The 20,399-nt window shown below is 40.8% G+C and overlaps 1 protein-coding gene across 5 annotated transcripts in view; it reads left to right on the forward strand.

Moving 5' to 3' along the window:
- AR (androgen receptor) overlaps nt 1-20,399 on the forward strand; it is a 186,599-nt gene that overhangs the window by 100,668 nt on the left and 65,532 nt on the right. The gene's annotated exons all lie outside the window — the stretch shown is intronic.

The raw sequence follows: 20,399 nt of genomic DNA on the forward strand, positions 1-20,399 counted from the left end.
AATATCTATAAAACAGAAGCTGCCATGTTGTTTTCTTCCAGTCCTCAGGGCCTACAAGAAGGCAGCTATCATTTGGTATTACTGAAAACATGCCCCATGTTCAGCTCATACCCCCAAATTACCCATTGCTACTGTTTATGCTGGGCTAATATGAAGCCCAGGGCCCTAATGTCTAGGTCTAGGCAGTAAGGCCTAGAGCAGTGCCTAAAGAGCCTGAGAGCAGTGCCTTCCTTTCTTCAGAGTACTCATGAAAGGATGGCTGTCAGAAAAGGAAATGAGGATGGGTTCCAGAGACTTCAGACCACCCCAACTTCCCCAGTGAGACCCTGGCACCTCCCCATACCCTCTCACCTAGCGGGCCCTGTCTATAGAGCAGAGAATGAAACAGAGCACTCATCTAGAGGTAGTGTGTCAGCAAGCCCAGGCACTGCACCACAGTAATAGCAGCCATATCAGATGGGAAAGGAGTTCAAGTGAACAAACAAGCAAATTCAATAGTCAGATAGATTAGATTATACTTGATGCTTCCTCTGAGTTTTACAAATATGGGTCACTAAATTGTTATTTTCAGAAAACAGGGGAAATGCTCAATCACATTGTGAAAGGGAAGATTTTGCTGTCATATCATACATCCCACATGGGAGCTTTCTGCAGAAGTTAGAGCTGAAGGAGGGAGGCAGGCAGAAGGGCAACTGGCAGGGCTGCCTGGGAGGAGCTCTGCAATGAGGTGGATCCTGTGCCATTTGAGAACAGGGAAGAAAAGAAATGAGGTTTTGGGGAGGGAATCACCCAACTCACAGAACACACAGAAATCCAGCAAGGTTTCAAAACGCTCTACACCTTAGAGTCTGTTAAGTTAGGGAAACTCTGTGAGCTCATAGGGCCAAATGCACTTGCCTGCTTGAAATATGAAAAATCAGCAATGGATTCCTTGAAAAACAATGAAAAGGGAACCTTCTGAGCCCCTTGGTTATTTTGACATATGGACCATAGATTTCAGTCCTGAGCCCTTTGAAGGTAGGAGAAGGTGGTTTAGAAAACACACACACACACGCACACAAACACACACCAGAATGAAGCAAAAAAAAAATTACTGGTGTTTTCTTTCTCCTCCCATCTGTGAAGCTGTTGGATTGATTTTACTGCCATCATTATCCCTGTTTGAAGGCAGGGGGCTGTCTTATTACCCAAAGAGGACATTTATTGATTTGGTTTTCTTTTTCCATTTTTACAATGCATCTTTATCGCCCATATGGCCTTTCTGGAGGTGGTTTTCAGTCTGGCTTGTTGAAACATCAAATTATACCTGTCTTAGAGAAAATAGAAACAAAAATCTTTCTCTTCCTTACTTGCTTGTTGTAGTCAGTTAACTCGGACTGAGTATTCAGAGTCTTGATTATCACTTAATTCATAGTTTCATAAATCTCTGGAATGGGCATAGGTACAGGACTTAAAAGCCTGGCATCTCAGACAGAAATATGTTTTTAGCTTTGGTGGTTTATAACAGATGGGACTTTTAGGCTGTCATTGGTGCAGGGCTCAGCACAGAGTCAGTTGTAATCTGGACAGGTTTTGTTGTTGAGGAAGAGTGGGAAGAGGGAGTCCTACATTTTCTCCTTGTCAGTAATGTTGGAGAATTGGGGTGAGGGTGAGGCTGGGCAGGGAGGGTCTGCATAGAAAAAAGGGTGCGGTGAGAAAAAATAATGCTACTAAGCCATGAGGGTAAAATGACCAAATTCTGGTTGAGAGAAACTTGGTCAAAGTGTGTATGGGGAGAGAAAGTTGGTCAAAGTCTGTGTCTGAGTGCTTGGTGGGATGAACTCTGGGTTAGAAACAGGCATGGAGGGAAATAGTTGGTTTATGGAGTGGGTAGGATGAGTGGGGTGGTGAAAGGGAAGGCATTTTGGATGCTAAGAGACCAGGAAGTCAAAGCAAGGCAATACACATAAACAGAGGTAAGGGCTCAGAGAGGTTTTAGTTGTGTAGACTTGGATAAGAAATTTTCCCTTTTGGACCTCAGTTTTCCTTGTTTGTAAAACAACGGACTTGAACTAGATATTTTAAAATGTGCTTCCAGCTTAGACATTTTGTGACCGTTCTACAAATTACAAACATAATCATCATCATTTCAGCAAACTCACATGTATTTATACCTGCATAAGTTTTTGGTCTTGCTTTCCTAGAAGGTGACTAATCCCAGATCCTAATCAATTAAAGAAGCAATCTTCAGATGGGGATAGAGCCAGCTGAGAGAGTGTACTATGGATGGAGTGAGTTAAAACTCAGGACTCAGATTTTCTCCTTGTGATCATTGCTGGGTAACTTCCTTTCTTTTCTATTTTCTCATCTGGAAAATCAGGATATGAATCCCCATCTCTACCTCATTATGTTTCAAAGAGGGTTAATTAATCCATCATGTGCATTATGTGCTCAAGAATTTACTATTTTTCAGACATTTTCTAGTAAAACATTGAAGATTATATGTCCATTTGTTTTGTACACATGGAGTGCTGTTTGGTACACATCATAAAATTGAAACTGTAGTTTACATTCTGAACTCAAAGAATTACACCATCCTCACTGATGTTTACAATAGGTCCCAATTTAGTTTCTTTAGCAAATTTTATGTAAGTATGGCTTTGATTCTCTCTCTCACTCCAGGTTTTTGTTAGGGAAGAAATGCAAGTGAACCCTCATTGAACTCTTTCTGTCCTTTAAATCCATTCTTTCCCACCTCAACTCATGTGGAATTGAATGTTGCCTCTAGTTTGGAGTCTAGCAGAGAGTTTTTGGTGCATATCAGTGTCCCCTTCACTCCCTGACTTTTCAAGTAACATTTCCCAGAGGCAAATTAACTCTGCTAAGAGGATCTGCTTGCAGCTTCAACAGAGCCTTCATCAGGTATCTTTGGCCAAGGAGTTGACTGATCCTGACTTTGCGAGTCCTAGAGATCTTTTCACAAAGCTCCTCTCATGTTTCTGCCTCTGATTTTCTTAAATGTCACAGACAGACTTTAGATTTAGGGGTTGGTTAACTTTTTTTGTAAAGGGCCATGTAGTAAATATTTTAGGCTTTGTAGATCATATGGTCTCTGTGTCAACTACTCAACTCTGCCTTTGTAGGATGAAAGCAGCCATAGACAATACTGGAACTAATGGGAGTAGCTGTGTTCCAATAAAACTTTATGGGCACTGAAATTTGAATTTCACTTAATTTTCACATGTCGTTTAATATTATTTTTCTTTTTTACCATTTAAAAATTTAGAAATCATTCTTAGCTCTTTGGGCCTCACAAAAACAGATGGTAGAGTGGATTTGGTTTATGGGCTGCAGTTTGTTGACCTGTGCTTTAGCTAATCACTTCTGTACTTATAAATCTGCATAGGTTTTATGTTTTTCCATCTCTTGGTATCTTAGTAGGCCAGTCAAAGTTTGAACAACTTGTTAGCACAGAATACCTGGCCTAGTGGCTTCTTGGTCCTGAGCTTATTTACTAAACAAGAGAAAAAATAAATAAGTCTAGAAATGCTAGAAGAGGATACTTTTTTGTTTTAATGATCTAGTAGATCACTCCTCCTTGCAATACCCAGAGGAGAAACTGAAAATATTTCAAACATTTTCTAGACTTCTGTGTTGTAAATTTGTGGATAACTATGAACTATATATGAATGAACTTTTCTGGATGACACATATATTCCAGATGGTAAAAAGGAAGGGCTTTGGGGACTCTCTGGTACCAAGTGTCATGGAAAAACTGTGTGTCTCATAGAAAGTAGATCCCAGGAGGCCAGCAGAGTTGTGGATCTGCCATATATTACCTCATGATTCTGTCTTCGCACACTCACCGGCTTAATTCTGGGCCTCCCCATAACACGACTAGACCACAGGCTTGCAGAAGAAATAATTTAGCTCTGTAACTCATTGAAGTTGGTGCCCACCCAAGTCTCTGTCAGTGCCCAATTCGGGAGCCATGCCAAGAATTTGCCATTGCTGCTTCATGGTGGCCTTGTGCCTGCTTATTTATAGCCTGTGCATTTTATGAAACAGGGATTAATAAGAAGTTGCCATAGCACTTGCACCATTATGTAAATATCTGTAATGCTTACATAACTTTTGTCACTTGCAAGACCTTTTGAGTCCATTGCCTTCTGCTACCATGCCTTACCAATTTCCTAGTCCCTTATTATTATTTTTCAATTCATTATATTTAACTTCTGTGATACACGTTCAGAATATGCAGGTTTCTTATATAGGTATACACGTGCCGTGGTGGTGTGCTGCAACCAACAACCCGTCATCTACATTAGGTATTTCTCCTAATGCTATCCCTCCACTAGCCCACCACCCCCTAATAAGCCCCAGTGTGTGATGTTCCCCTCCCTGTGTCCATGTGTTCTCATTGTTCAACTCCCACTTATGAGTGAGAACATGCAGTGTTTGGTTTTCTGTTCCTGTGTTTGTTTTCTGAGAATGATGGTTTCCAGCTTCATCCGTGTCCCTGCAAAGGACATGAACTCATCCTTTTTTATGACTGCATAGTATTCCATGGTGTATATGTGCCACATTTTCTTTATCCAGTATATCATTGATGGGCATTTCGGTTGGTTCCAAGTCTGTGCTATTGTGAATAGTGCTGCAATAAACATACGTATGCATGCGTCTTTATAGAAGAATGACTTATAATCCTTTGGGTATATACCCAGTAATGGGATGGCTGGGTCAAATGGCATTTCAGGTTCTAGATCCTTGAGGAATCTCCACACTGTCTTCCACAATGGTTGAACTGATTTACACCCCCACCAACAATGTAAAAGTGTTCCTATTTCTCCATATTCTCTCCAGCATCTGTTGTTTCCTGACTTTTTAATGATCGCCATTCTAACTGGCATTGACATGGTATCTCACTGTGGTTTTGATTTGCATTTCCCTAATGACCAGTGATGATAAGCTTTTTTTCATATGTTTGTTGGCCGCATAAATGTCTTCTTTTGAGAAGTGTCTGTTCATATCCTTCACCCACTTTCTGGTGTGGTTGGTTATTTTTTTCTTGTAAATTTGTTTAAGTTCCTTGTAGATTCTGGATATTAGCCCTTTGTCAGATGGATAGATTGCGAAAATTTTCTCTCATTCTGTAGGTTGGTTGTTCACTCTGATGATAGTTTCTTTTGCTGTGCAGAAGCTCTTTAGTTTAATTAGATTTCATTTGTCAATTTTGGCTTTTGTTGCCATTGCTTTTGGTGTTTTAGCCATGAAGACTTTGCCCATTCACAATTGCTACAAAGAGAATAAAATACCTAGGAATACAACTCACAAGGGATGTGAAGGACCTCTTCAAGGAGAACTACAAACCACTGCTCAAGGCAATAAGAGAGGACACAAACAAAAGGAGAAACATTCCATGCTCATGGATAGGAACAATCAATATCGTGAAAATTGCCATACTGCCCAAAGTAAATTATAGATTCAATGCTATCCCCATTAAGCTACCATTGACTTTCTTCACAGAATTAGAAAATACTACTTTAAATTTCATATGGAACCAAAAAGAGCCCATATACCCAAGACAATTCTAAGCAAAAAGAATAAAGCTGGAGGTATCAAGCTACCTGACTTCAAACTATACTACAAGGCTACAGTAACCCTTATCAATTTTTTATGTGCCTCTCCATATTCTGCAGTCAGAAGCTTCTTCAGTCCTTTCAGGGAATTGCTGGGTGACTATCAAACTCTGGTAGTTCATTTTTGCAGTTGGCTGCTGTTGTGAGGATAAGAGTTAGACTCACTTTCTCTTCAGAGATAGAAATTATGTATTAATTCTCTGGGTTCTAGACCCACAGCAAGGAGCATACTGCTCCTCAAAATAACTGAATTCTGCGAGAAGCCATCATTGTAAAACAACAATATCTTCAGTTATAGTAGCCATGTGTGCAACTTCTGGAAACTGTTATTCAGATTTTCATGTTCCTTCCCTGTCTCTTCATAGCTAGGCAGCTGCTTTCAGCCTTGTACAGATGCTAGTGAGCTTTCTACCTACAAACCTGCAGAAAATTGAACTGAGATTTGGAGGTGAAAGACTCTTGATAAAGGGAACAAGGTTTAGAATTCTCAGTCCCTTTGCTCCCAGGCTGTGTTGTGACTACTGAGGCACTCCAGTGAAATCACTATTCCTCCTATCTAGACTAATGCCTGTCTCTGCAGAGCACCTCATAAGAACAGGCCTGGTAGTAATATCCTCATGCATTCAGTCAGTAAATATTTACAGAGTGCTTACTACATATAGGGTATTGGGCTGACATATGCAAGATACAGGGCCTGCTTCCAGGAGGTTATAGCTTATTGATCATAAATGTGGCATTTTTTTTTTTTGAGACGGAGTCTTGCTCTGTCTGTCACCCAGGCTGGAGTGCAGTGGCACGATCTCGGCTCACTGCAACCTCCACCTCCCAGGTTCATGTGATTTTCCTGCCTCACCCTCCTGAGCAGCTGAGACTACAGGGGCTCATCACCACACCCAGCTTTTTTTTTTTTTTCTGTATTTTTAGTAGAGACAGGGTTTCACCATATTGGCCAGGCTGGTCTCGAACTCCTGACCTCGTGATCCACCCACCTCAGCCTCCCAAAGTGCTGGGATTACAGGCGTGAAAATGTGGCAATCTTTAAAGCTCTTCAGTGGATGAAAGGCCACCCTATCTGCTGTCCTTTTGAACTTCGCAACTTTCTTGGTACAGAGTGAGAGGTTATTCTCTTGGTTTTCCATATAAGTAAACTGAGGCTTTGCCAGTTCATCAACAGGTAGTAAATAATATATTTGGAATTTGAACCCAAGTCTTCTGGGGTCAAAGGCAGCATTCACTCTGCTCTGTCACAGCAGCTCCTCAAATAAGCCAACATAGAAACCAAGTACTATGCCTAGGCAACAAGAAAGGCAGCAATGAAGAGCAACAGCAGAGTCAAATATGAGAGAAGGAAGTTAAGAAAGATGTTAAGTACTGTGGGGAGTAACTGAGAAACCACCAAGTATCGCTAACATCACAGGGAACTTGTCTTCCTAAGAAAATTCCAAGCACTTAAAACCGCTGGTAGTTCATCAGCAACTCTCTTCATTAGATGTGCGAGGGACATGTGGGCCATAGTCCTTCTACTAACTTATATTCTTCAGGGGAAAGTTCTGATTCTGATGAGACCCAGCATGGTAGCTCTTAATTCACTGTTGTCACACGACTATAGAACAGGAAGCACAACTTAACACCTGTGCTCATGAGAATTTTGCTCCTTATGACCAAGCTAAAGAAAGAGCTTAGACAGGATGTGTGGCTATAAATGTAGATTAATGGTTCCTTGGCTCTTTGGTTTGAGCCTTCTCAGCAGAGCATCCCACGGAGTGTTTTCCATGGGGCCACGAGCAAGAGAAATCCACTTCCCTCCTCCTCAATGTCAGAAAATAGAGAATATTGTCTTTCAGGATAGAATTAAAAAGTCATAGAGGCAGCAACTTGTTTTCCTATATTAGGGTTTTAAAATTCTGTTTTTCCTTCCTCTCCTGGGTCAGATCATTGTGTGGATGGACCTTGATTTCATTGTGGTATCTGTATGTGGACCCTGAAGACCATGGACTTCTAACAATTCCTTAAGTTACATAAGCACATTCCTACAGGTCACAAGCTCATTTACTTACAGGATGGTTGATTTGGTCACAGGTTATTTCATGAAAATACTTAAAAGATTTGCAGTGTTCAAAACTGCAGTATCTTTAAACACTAAAACTTGAAGGAAGGGAATTTAGAAATCAAAAAATCTGGTCAAACCATTTCATGGAAAAGGAAAGTGAGGCTCAGAGAGAGGAAATTACTTTCCTGGGTTTGTATAGCCTATAAATGGCAGAAATGAGAGCCTCCCTGCCATTTCTAGTTTTCTGTCTGAGAGACTCTCCTGCCTAATAGCTAATTAGCAGAGTCACAGAGGTCATTACCTTGCAATTCTCAAGAATTATGTGAGGCAGCATAGTAAGCATTTATGGCCCTTGGTTCCTAGAAGGAGCTTAGTCCCTGATAGTCATCTCTGCCTTTGCCATTGTGTGAGACTGTCTTCTGTAACTGTATGTCTTCCTCCCTAGTAAGTTAATGAGTAATAAAGGTATTCTATAGTGAGAGGACTCTGTAAGACATTTCTTGGTGTGAGGATTGTTCCAAGGTTGTTTTGTGTGTATGTGCATGTATAAACTTTTTTAGGGAGCATATTCATAGCTTTTACATGGATCTCAGAGGCTCTATAACCCAGAGAAGATTACAGAATACCAGTCTTGTCTTTGGTAAGGATTTTATAGACCCATCCTGACTACAGTGATATCCAACATGGCTATGTAATGACTGGCACTTTCCCCACATAACATATATTTATTCCACACTCAGTGCCTACTGTGTACATGAGACCTATACCGGGCACTGGGATAAGAGACATGAAATAACAGCTAAAATTGTTTATTGAGCAGTCAGTATGCATTAGATGCTTTGTAGTCATTTTCTTATTCAATCTGTATACCCTCAATTTACAAATGAGGAAACTGAGGCACAGAAGAGTTGAGTGATTTGCCCAAAGTCATACAAATAGTCAGTGGCTATGTGATGAATAGTTACCAACATAAAAGAGTGAGATTACTGCTGTACTAAAAGTAGGTACATAATCCCCTGAGCAGACAGTATGAGAGAATGATTTATTTTACCTGGAAAGTTTAGGAAGGCTTCACAGAGGAGTTAAGGGTTGATCTGGGTCTTGAGGGATGGATAAGAGTTTGCCAGATACAAAAAGGTAGGAAGAGAACTTCAGGAGGAGGGAACAGGCTGAGCAAAGACACGGCGATGTGAAAGTGGGAGGCTTGTTTGGGGAACATTATGGAATCTGGAGGTTATTGTGGGGAATCTCATCAGATGCAGCAAGCTGTTTGACAGGCCTTCAGTTGGCTCTTTGTACCTTGCTCCCTCCGCATGCTGAGCTGTCCATAGCTGCCCTAGGCTGGTGTCTGGGATTTTCGGAAGAAGGTTACTATCCAGGTAGTGTAACAAGATGCAGTGCAAAAGCACCAGATTGGGGCTCTGGCTCTGCTGCTGACTTACCACCTGGCCTTAAGCATGTCTAGTTCCCTCTTTGTACATTAAAATCTCCATTGGAACAGTAACATGGTTGTATTAAATGATCTTGAAGATTTTACCTGCACGTTTTGCACATGTACCCTAAAACTTAAAGTATAATAAAAAAATTAAAATAAAAAATAAAAATATAACAATATAAATCTTTAACAATAATTTTAGTAGTAAATCTCTACAATTTTACAGATAATCCAGATGCATCCATTGGCCAATGGTTCACTTTGTATGCATAATATTTGGGAAACAGGCAGACCCAATTTCAATCCTTAGTTGTAAGACTTAATACATATGTGATCTCGAGCAAATCACTTTTGTATGCCTCTATAAGGATAATAATAGCTCACAGAATTATTTTAAGAACTAAATGATGTGTAATAAAGCTACTGGTACTCAGTAAGTTTTGTATCCTTTTCCTAGAGTGAGTCTTGGTCATAGGCATGCGTATACTTGCAGCGTCCCTGGGTAGGCCGAAAGAGCAAATAAGAGATGGTATCTATGGTATTCCCCAGGTAAAGGAGGCCTTGGGTTGGCATAAGATTTCACTTCTCTTTAGAGTTACTTAATTAGGGACCAGAAAGGCCATCAGCATTTGTATGAGAATATAACAAAGGTCAATCTCTTCCTCTTTACTTTTTACCTCCCAGTACACTGTGAGTAACATTCCCCAGCCAGCCCAGCCAGCACGTGTTCATTGCCTCTCTTGACTTCCAGACTTTGGACTTGAAGGTGTCAGAGCTCTCTGTGTATCTTTGTCCCCAACAAGATAAGTCTGACCTCCCCAGCAAATTCAAGTCCTAAGCCACTGTCCAGGAGAAAAGCTAGCAAGGTCATAAATTATTCTCCATATTTTCCAGCCATTGGTTTCCCTTGTCCAGCCAGAGGTGTGTCTCAAAGTATGCTGAGGCCAGATTCAATAGAAACCTGAGCCAGCACCTGTGTAAATAATTTTTAAAGCTCCTTTTCCTGAAGCTGGATGAATATTTTTAAAAACTAAGCTGGATTGTCTTTTATCTAGCATGCCGTCTCCTACATTCCTAGTGCTATGGACCTCTTGGAGGAATGTGGTTTGGTTATAGTGGTATTGTCTTGTCTGTTGTGGGGGAGGGAGACATTTCTTTCAGAAGCAAGGTAATACTTTGGTCTGGTCTATGACTCTATTTTGTTTAAAATGAAACTATGGCAGTATAGTGGTATTCATTCTGCTTCCCATAGGTTAACTTTACATCCCTCTGTCTTCACCCACTCTTCAGTTCTGATTCTTTTAAAAGCAGCCAACCAAAACCAGCAAGTACATACTGCTTATCTCTGACTTCCACCAGAATCAACTTCAGATCTTGTCCAAAGCTCCATCTGAAGAGAGGGGAATAACACCCAGCCAAGAGCCCTCAGGGCCCATCAGTAAGTAGACATCCTGTCCTTGAGGTTCCTTAACTCTGCTCAGCTTCAGAATACAGAAGGGGTTGGTTCTTCATTTGTGTTGTTTATAACTAAAAGCCTCCTACTCCCCACTTTTTTGCATAGCTTCTTCTGCCATCCCACCTGTGTAGCCTCTTCAACTCCCCCAAAACTCCTCTGTAGCCCATGTCACTTGGAAAGAGTTTTCTTTGTCTCTTTTGCAACTTGACAATGACTAGCCAGCAAGTTTAAGTTCAAATTATTGTTCCATGGGAGCAGAGATAGATATAGGAAACAAAAAAAAGGGATATGGAGGTATAGAGTGATTTCCCACCTACCTAGTGAGCACTACTGAGATATTCAAGTACTCTCTACCCAAGAATTCTATTGATATAAAGGTAAAAAACTTGATCTTAGGTCTAATATCCGTTAGTAGTGTGACCTTGGGAAAATGATACCACCCCCAAAGGCTTAGTTTTCTTAACTGTAAAATAGGCATACAGATGACCACCCCCAGAGGATTCATAAGGATAACATGAGATAAGGCAACTTGAAATTTCCTAGCATAGTGATAGACTTTCGAAAATAAAATGAATCAAACACTGATAACAGTACTTCCTAGTACACAAATGAGAAATCAGTCCCTCATCAAATTACAGCACATTTTCAATGCTCCAATTATGTCACTGTAGAAATGCTAATGTGGATTAAATAATTTGTCTGTTGCTATTTATACGGATAATTTGATAGTAGTTATTTTTGGACATGGATAGCTTTGAAGCCTTACAGATGAGTCCATCCCCAAGTACCCAAAACTAAAGAAAGTTGGCTAGAGTGATGACAAGGTGGCAGCACAGAGCTCCCTGCGTTCTGGGCCCTGTCCCCTAGCTAGAGAGAACTCCAGGCTATAAGCATTTGTATTCTCATAGTCCAATGGCAGGGAAGAAGGGCTGGAGGTGAGTAGTTTTCACTCATTTATTTTTTCAACAAGCATGTATGGTATCAGGCCTTGTATGCATCCAGAGACAAATGTGAACTAGCCGTGTCCTCAAGGAGATTCCAGTCTGGTGGGCCTGCCTTCCAAGGTCAGTTGCAGCTTTAGCACTATAAAGAGCACCTACCTGCGGCAGATACAATGTGATGGGACATGACAGAGAAAAAATCTATAAGCAGAGCCTCCCCATTCCCAGGCATTGAAACAATCCTAACCAAGACTGGCATAGTACAATGAGCCTGTCCCTATCAGCAGGTTTGGAAGCCTTAACAACAACAACAAAAACAATAATAATGGTGATGATAATCATAGAGCCTAATGTTACCAAACATTTTCCATGTGTTAAGTACTATACTAAGTGCATACTTAATCCTCACAACAATGCTATAAGATAGTAGATACTCTTACTACTACCCTGATTTTACAAATGTGGAAACTGAGGCACAGAAGACTAAGAGAACAGGAATACACCTAATTCACCTCAGTTCAACAAACATCAAGCATCTGTTTTATGTCAGGCCTCGTGCTGGATGGCAGGGAGAGAGAGATGAGTAAAGCATAGTTTCAGTCCAGTGGGAGCAAATGACAGCACACAGTGGGGCAGGTATATTGCAGCCCTTCTGCTTGATGCTAAGAACTCAGTGTCAGTGATGAATGAAACACAGTCATTCTCTCAAAGATCTTAAAGCTTAGTAGGAGATATCTGTGTGGAAACAAAAATTAAATACTGCTGTGATAAGTGTCATAAGAGATAAGTGGAAAATGAGAGAGAGAGATCACTGTAGCAATTGATTGGTTTAAATCAAAGCCCCCAAAAAAATGTTATTGAGAATTATAAAACAACTAATTGATTTAAATCAAAGCCCAAACAGAAGTGTTTGCTAATTTTATTTCAATTTGGTTGATAATTTGGTTGAAATGAATTTATTTCATTTTTTATTCCATCCTTACAATGGAAGATTAGTGCTTGTTTCCCACCCAAGGATACCAGGATATTTCAGGGGCTGTATTACAATATAGTTAAATTATTCCTTTATCTCAAAGCACATCCACACTTTCCCCTATCCTTACCTTTACTCAGGGTATCTCTTCTGCCTCAGGTGCTTTTTCTCCACATTTCCATATTCTTAAGTCCTACCTTCCTTCAGGGCCTCACTCAAATGCCTCCTCCTCCATGAAGCATTCACCCGACTGAAAGGTACCCCGCCCTCTCCTGTACTCCACATCACTTCATGGGTGTCTCCACTTCCTGCTTTATCTTTCAGTAATACACTTACAGTTCTCTTTCCTCCACTAGACTGAGCTCTTCAGAGGAAGACTCACTTGGCTGAAACCATGATTTTACTTTAAACACATTGAAAACCTCTACTGGAGTGCATTGTGTCTGGTGGGCTTCAACCTTAATTCTTAAGTATGTGAAAACACATCACCTATCTGGAGGTTTACACTTTCTGCTAATGACTTTATTTTTAAGCCCACCACCCTAACACAACAAATACTTAAAACTTGTCTTCATTTCCTTTAGGTCTGGCCCTCATGCATGCATATAATTTATAGAGTCACTGTTTTGCTCGGTTGTCCTCATGCCTCTATATTATTGGAGGTTTAGATTGTTTCCATATACTCAGGTTGTATTCATGTCCTTTTTTTCTTTTTAAATTTCCTTAGCATCCATTTCCACCATTGGAAATTCAGGGTCAAAACAGGGGTTTGGGATTGGAGCATGTCTATCACAGATAACCAATCATGTGTTATGACTTAAGAATTTATGAAAGGGCCCTCTACCTGAAGATATCTTGCTACTGATGCTGTCTCACAGTGTCTGAAACTCCCATCATATGTGGAATTGTTTTGGAAGGCTTTGCCTCCTGGGACACATTCAGCCATAATCAAGAAATAGTATTGAGCATTAGACTGTCAGTATGTCCATTAGCAAGACTGTGGAGGAATGGAATCACCAATATTATATTTTATAGGGGATACAGAATACAAGAGAAGTTCTGAAGAGAAAATTCTTATGTAGAATAGGAAGGCTTAGATACAGCATGAAAGCTGCAGGCTTTGAGGAGCCAGAGGTCAAATGAAAGCATTGAGTATTTGTTTAGATGAAAGAACAGAAAGGGAAAAAGAAGCAGAGGAAGGGATAGTAGAGAGAAATGTATAAGTTTTATCCATTTAACTTGTAATTGTGTTTGGCTATGGGCACAATAGAAGCAGTGAGATCACTTTATTTTATTTTATTCTTTATAGACAGGGTCTTGCTATGTTGCCCAGGCTGCAGTGTGCAGCTCTTCACAAGTGTGATCATAGCGTACTACACCCTCAAACTCCTGGACTCAAGCAATCCTCCCATCTCAGCCTCCTGAGTAGCTGGGACTACAAGTGCACACCACCACGCCCAGTGAGATCACTTGAAACTAGGGAGAGATGTGTGAGTTCTGGGCAACCAGTAGTTGGCTTTACATAGAACTGTAGGGGTCAAGGCCAAAGGGGACGTCCTGTTCCAAGTCACCTTCTTTGGACATTAGAAAACCACGAGGGGTTTGGAAATCAGAAAACCAGCAGAGGCAGGAAAACTCAGGGCAGCATGGGAGATTCAGTATATACAAAAAGGTTCACACCAGTAATCAAACAGAATTTTAACTGCTGATGTGGAGTAGAGGCAGCTTTGTCTGCTGTGTGATAACCAAACCTTTACGAATAGTAGGTGTATATGGGGAATTGGAGGGAGATAGGTGGCTGTGTTTAGTAATTGGTTGACTTCACTGAGATGGTTTGGGGATTGTGGCTTCCAGATGATCAGATTTTCTTTTTTAGGTAGAGACTCCAACATCATTACAGAACTATAAATTACATGTGGAAAAGAAAGGCCTCCTATGTTAGAATAGAAAATAAAATGCTGTGGGGTTGAGGGACAGAGGTGCTGTCTAGGAAGTCAGATAGCGTTTTCCAGTTCTGTCCCTCAGAGTTCCTTGTCCTCATTGAGACTCAATTTCTCTTACTTTTTTTTTTATACTTTAAGTTTTAGGGTACATGTGCACAACATGCAGGTTTGTTACATATGTATACATGTGCCATGTTGGTGTGCTGCACCCATTAACTCATCATTTAACATTAGGTATATCTCCTAATGCTATCCTTCCCCTCTCCCCTCTCCCCACCACAGGCCCTAGTGTGTGATGTTCCCCTTCCTGTGTCCATGTGTTCTCATTGTTCAATTCTCACCTGTGAGTGAGAACATGCGGTGTTTGGTTTTTTGTCCTTGTGATAGTTTGCTGAGAATGATGGTTTCCAGCTTCATCCATGTCCCTACAAAGGACATGAACTCTTCATTTTTTATGGCTGCGTAGTATTCCATGGTATATATGTGCCACATTTTCTTAATCCAGTTTATCATTGATGGACATTTGGGTTGGTTCCAAGGCTTTGCTATTGTGAATAGTGCCATGATAAACATACGTGTGCATGTGTCTTTATAGCAGCATGATTTATAATCCTTAGGGTATATACCCAGTAATGGGATGGCTGGGTCAAATGGTATTTCTAGTTCTAGATCCCTGAGGAATCGCCACACTGACTTCCACAATGGTTCAACTAGTTTACAGTCCCACCAACAGTGTAAAAGGGTTCCTATTTCTCCACGTCCTCTCCAGCACCTGTTGTTTCCTGACTTTTTAATGATCACCATTCTAATTGGTGTGAGATGGTATCTCGTGGTTTTGATTTGCATTTCTCTGATGGCCAGTGATGATGAGCATTTTTTCATGTGTCTGTTGGCTGTGTAAATGTCTTCTTTGAGACGTGTCTGTTCATATCCTTTGCCCACTTTTTGATAGGGTTGTTTGTTTTTTTCTTGTAAATTTGTTTGAGTTCTTTGTAGATTCTGGATATTACCCTTTGTCAGATGAGTAGATTGCAAAAGTTTTCTCCCATTCTGTAGGTTGCCTGTTCACTCTGATGGTAGTTTCTTTTGCTATGCAGAAGTTCTTTAGTTGAATTAGATCCCATTTGTCAATTTTGGCTTTTGTTGCCATTGCTTTTGGTGTTTTAGACATGAAGTCCTTGCCCATGCCTATGTCCTGAATGGTATTGCGTAGGTTTTCTTCTAGGGTTTTTATGGTTTTAGGTCTAACATGTAAGTCTTTAATCCATCTTGAATTAATTTTAGTATAAGGTGTAAGGAAGGGATCCAGTTTCAGCTGTCTACATATGGCTAGCCAGTTTTCCCAACACCATTTATTAAATAGGGAATCCTTTCCCCATTTCTTGTTTTTGTCAGGTTTGTCAAAGATCAGATGGTTGTATATATGCGGCATTATTTCTCAGGGCTCTGTTCTGTTCCATTGGTCTATATCTCTGTTTTGGTACCAGTACCATGCTGTTTTGGCTACTGTAGCCTTGTAGTATAGTTTGAAGTCAGATAGCGTGATGCCTCCAGCTCTGTTCTTTTGGCTTAGGGTTGACTTGGCGATTCAGGCTCTTTTTTGGTTCCATATGAACTTTAAAGTAGTTTTTTCCATTTCTGTGAAGAAAGTCATGGGTAGCTTGATGAGGATGGCATTGAATCTATAAATTACCTTGGGCAGTATGGCCATTTTCACAATATTGATTCTTCCTACCCATGAGCATGGAATGTTCTTCCATTTGTTTGTATCTTCTTTTATTTCATTGAGCAGTGGTTTGTAGTTCTCCTTGAAGAGGTCCTTCAAGTCCCTTGTAAGTTGGATTCCTAGGTATTTTATTCTCTTAGAAGCAATTGCAAATGGGAGTTCACTCATGATTTGGCTCTCTGTTTTCTGTTATTGGTGCATAAGAATGCTTGTGATTTTTGCACATTGATTTTGTATCCTGAGACTTTGCTGAAGTTGCTTATCAGCTTAAGGAGATTTTGGGTTGAGACGATGGGGTTTTCTAGGTATACAATCATGTCATCTGCAAACAGAGACAATTTGACTTCCTCTTTTCCTAATTGAATGCCCTTTATTTCCTTCTCCTGCCTGATTGCCCTGGCCAGAACTTCCAACAGTATGTTGAATAGGAGTGGTGAGAGAGGGCATCCCTGTCTTGTGCCAGTTTTCAAAGGGAATGCTTCCAGTTTTTGCCCATTCAGTATGATATTGGCTGTGGGTTTGTCATAGATAGCTCTTATTATTTTGAGATACGTCCCATCAATAACTAATTTATTGAGAGTTTTTAGCATGAAGCGCTGTTGAATTTTGTTAAAGGCCTTTTCTGCATCTATTGAGATAATCATGTGGTTTTTGTCGTTGGTTCTGTTTATATGCTGGATTATGTTTATTGATTTGCGTATATTGAACCAGCCTTGCATCCCAGGGATGAAGCCCACTTGATCATAGTGGATACGCTTTTTGCTGGTATTTTATTGAGGATTTTTGCATCAATGTTTATCAGGGATATCGGTCTAAAATTCTCTTTTTTGTTGTGTCTCTGCCTGGCTTTGGTATCAGGATGATGTTGGCCTCCTAAAATGAGTTAGGGAGGATTCCCTCTTTTTCTATTTATTGGAATAGTTTCAGAAGGAAGGGTACCAGCTCCTCCTTGTACCTCTGGTAGGATTCAGCTGTGAATCCATCTGGTTCTGGACTTTTTTTGATTGGTAAGCTATTAGTTATATCCTCAATTTCAGAGCCTGTTATTGGTCTATTCAGAGATTCAACTTCTTCCTGGTTTAGTCTTGGGATGGTGTATGTGTCGAGGAATTTATCCATTTCTTCTAGATTTTCTAGTTTATTTGCATACAGGTGTTTATAGTATGCTCTGATGGTAGTTTGTACTTCTGTGGGATCGGTGATTATATCCCCTTTATCATTTTTTATTGCGTCTATTTGATTCTTCTCCCTTTTCTTCTTTATTAGTCTTGCTAGTGGTCTATCAATTTTGTTGATCTTTTCAAAAAACCAGTTCCTGGATTCATTGATTTTTTGAAGGGTTTTTTACATCTCTATTTCCTTCAGTTCTGCTCTGATCTTAGTTATTTCTTGCCTTCTGCTAGCTTTTGAATGTGTTTGCCCTTGCTTCTCTAGTTCTTTTAATTGTGATGTTAGGGTTTCAATTTTGGATCTTTCCTGCTTTCTCTTGTGGGCATTTAGTGCTATAAATTTCCCTCTCCACACTGCTTTGAATGTGTCCCAGAGATTCTGGTATGTTGTGTCTTTGTTCTCATTGGTTTCAAAGAACATCTTTATTTCTGCCTTCATTTCATTATGTACCTAGTAGTCATTAAGGAGTAGGTTGTTCAGTTTCCATGTAGTTGAGCGGTTTTGAGTGAGTTTCTTAATCCTGAGTTCTAGTTTGATTGCACTGTAGTCTGAGAGACAGTTTGTTATAATTTCTGTTCTTTTACATTTGCTGAGGAGTGCTTTACTTCCAACTATGTGGTCAATTTTGGAATAGGTGTGGTGTGGTGCTGAAAAGAATGTATATTCTGTTGATTTGGGGTGGAGAGTTCTGTAGATGTCTGTTAGGTCTGCTTGACAGTGGAGTGTTAAAGTCTCCCATTATTATTGTGTGGGAGTCTAAGTCTCTTTGTAGGTCTCTAAGGACTTGCTTTATGAATCTGGGTGCTCCTGTATTGGTTGCATATATATTTAGGATAGTTAGCTCTTCTTGTTGAATTGATCCCTTTACCATTATGTAATGGCCTTCTTTGTCTCTTTTGATCTTTGTTGGTTTAAAGTCTGTTTTATCTGAGACTAGGATTGCAATCCCTGCCTTTTTGTGTTTTCCGTTTGCTTGATAAATCTTCTTCCATCCCTTTATTTTGAGCCTATGTGTGTCTCTGCATGTTAGACGGGTTTCCTGAATACAGCACACTGATGGGTCTTGTCTCTTTATCCAATTTGCCAGTCTGTGTCTTTTAATTGGAGCATTTAGCCCATTTACATTTAAGGTTAATATTGTTATGTGTGAATTTGATCCTGTCATTATGATGTTAGCTGGTTATTTTGCTCGTTAGTTGATGCAGTTTCTTCCTAGCCTCGACGGTCTTTACAATTTGGTATGTTTTTGCAGTGGCTGGTACCGGTTGTTCCTTTCCATGTTTAGTGCTTCCTTCAGGAGCTCCTGCAGTGCAGGCCTGGTGGTGACAAAATTTCTCAGCATTTGCTTGTCTGTAAAGGATTTTATTTCTCCTTCACCTATGAAGGTTAGTTTGGCTGGATATGAAATTCTGGTTTTAAAATTCTTTTCTTTAAGAATGTTGAATATTGGCCCCCACTCTCTTCTGGCTTGTAGAGTTTCTGCTGAGAGATCAGCTCTTAATCTGATGGGCTTCCCTTTGTGGGGAACCTGACCTGTTTCTCTGGCTGCCTTTAACATTTTTTCCTTCATTTCAACTTTGGTGAATCTGACAATTATGTGTCTTGGAGTTGCTCTTCTCAAGGAGTATCTTTGTGGTGTTCTCTGTATTTCCTGAATTTGAATATTGGCCTGCCTTGCTAGATTGGGGAAGTTGTCCTGGATAATATCCTACAGAGTGTTTTCCAACTTGGTTCCATTCTCCCCATCACTTTCAGGTACACCAATCAGACATAGATTTGGTCTTTTCACATAGTCCCATATTTCTTGGAGGCTTTGTTCATTTCTTTTTATTCTTTTTCCTCTGAACTTCTCGCTTCATTTCATTCATTTGATCTTCAATCACTGATACCCTTTCTTCCAGTTGATCTAATCGGCTACTGAGGCTTGTGCATTTGTCACGTAGTTCTCGTGCTGTGTTTTTCAGCTCCATCAGGTCCTTTAAGGACTTCTCTGCATTGGTTATTCTAGTTAGCCATTTGTCTAATTTTTTTTCAAGGTTTTTAACTTCTTTGCCATGCGTTCGAACTTCCTCCTTTAGCTCAGAGTAGTTTGATTGTCTGAAGCCTTCTTCTCTCAACTCGTCAAAGTCATTCTCCATCCAGCTTTGTTCCATTGCTGGTGAGGAGCTGCATTCCTTTGGAGGAAGAAAGGCACTCTGATTTTTAGAGTTTCCGGTTTTTCTGCTCTGTTTTTTCCCCATCTTTGTGGTTTTATCTCCCTTTGGTCTTTGAAGATGGTGATGTACAGATGAGCGTTTGGTGTGGATGTCCTTTCTGTTTGTTAGTTTTCCTTCTGTCAGGACCCTCAGCTGCAGGTCTGTTGGAGTTTGCTGCAGGTCCACTCCAGACCCTGTTTGCCTGGTTATCAGCAGCAGAGGCTGCAGAACAGTGGATATTGGTGAACAGAAAATGTTGCTGGTTGATCATTCCTCTGGAAGTTTTGTCTCAGAGGAATACCCGGATGTGTGAGGTGTCAGTCTGCCCCTACTTGGGGGTGCCTCCCAGTTAGGCTACTCGGGGTTCAGGGAACCACTTGAGGAGGCAGTCTGTCCGTTCTCAGATCTCCAGCTGCATACTGGGAGAACCACTACTCTCTTCAAAGCTGTCAGACAGGGACATTTAAGTCTGCAGAGGTTTCTGCTGCCTTTTGTTCGGCTATGCCCTGCCCCCAGAGGTGGAGTCTACAGAGGCAGGCAGGCCTCCTTGAGCTGTGGTGGGCTCCACCCAGTTCGAGCTTCCCAGCTGCTTTGTTTACCTACTCAAGCTTCAGCAATGGCGGGCACCCCTCCCCCAGCCTCGCTGCTGCCTTGCAGTTTGGTCTCAGACTGCTATACTAGCAATGAGCGAGGCTCTGTGGGCGTAGGACCCTCTGAGCCAGGCACAGGATATAATCTCCTGGTGTGCCGTTTGTGAAGACCATTGAAAAAGTGCAGTATTATGGTGGGAGTGACCCGATTTTCCAGGTGCCATCTGTCACCCCTTTCTTTGACTAGGAAAGGGAATTCTCTGATCCCTTGTGCTTCCTGGGTGAGGCGATGTCTCGCCCTG

The sequence above is a fragment of the Homo sapiens genome, chromosome X (genome assembly GCF_000001405.40).
Source record: "Homo sapiens chromosome X, GRCh38.p14 Primary Assembly".
NCBI lineage: Eukaryota > Metazoa > Chordata > Mammalia > Primates > Hominidae > Homo > Homo sapiens.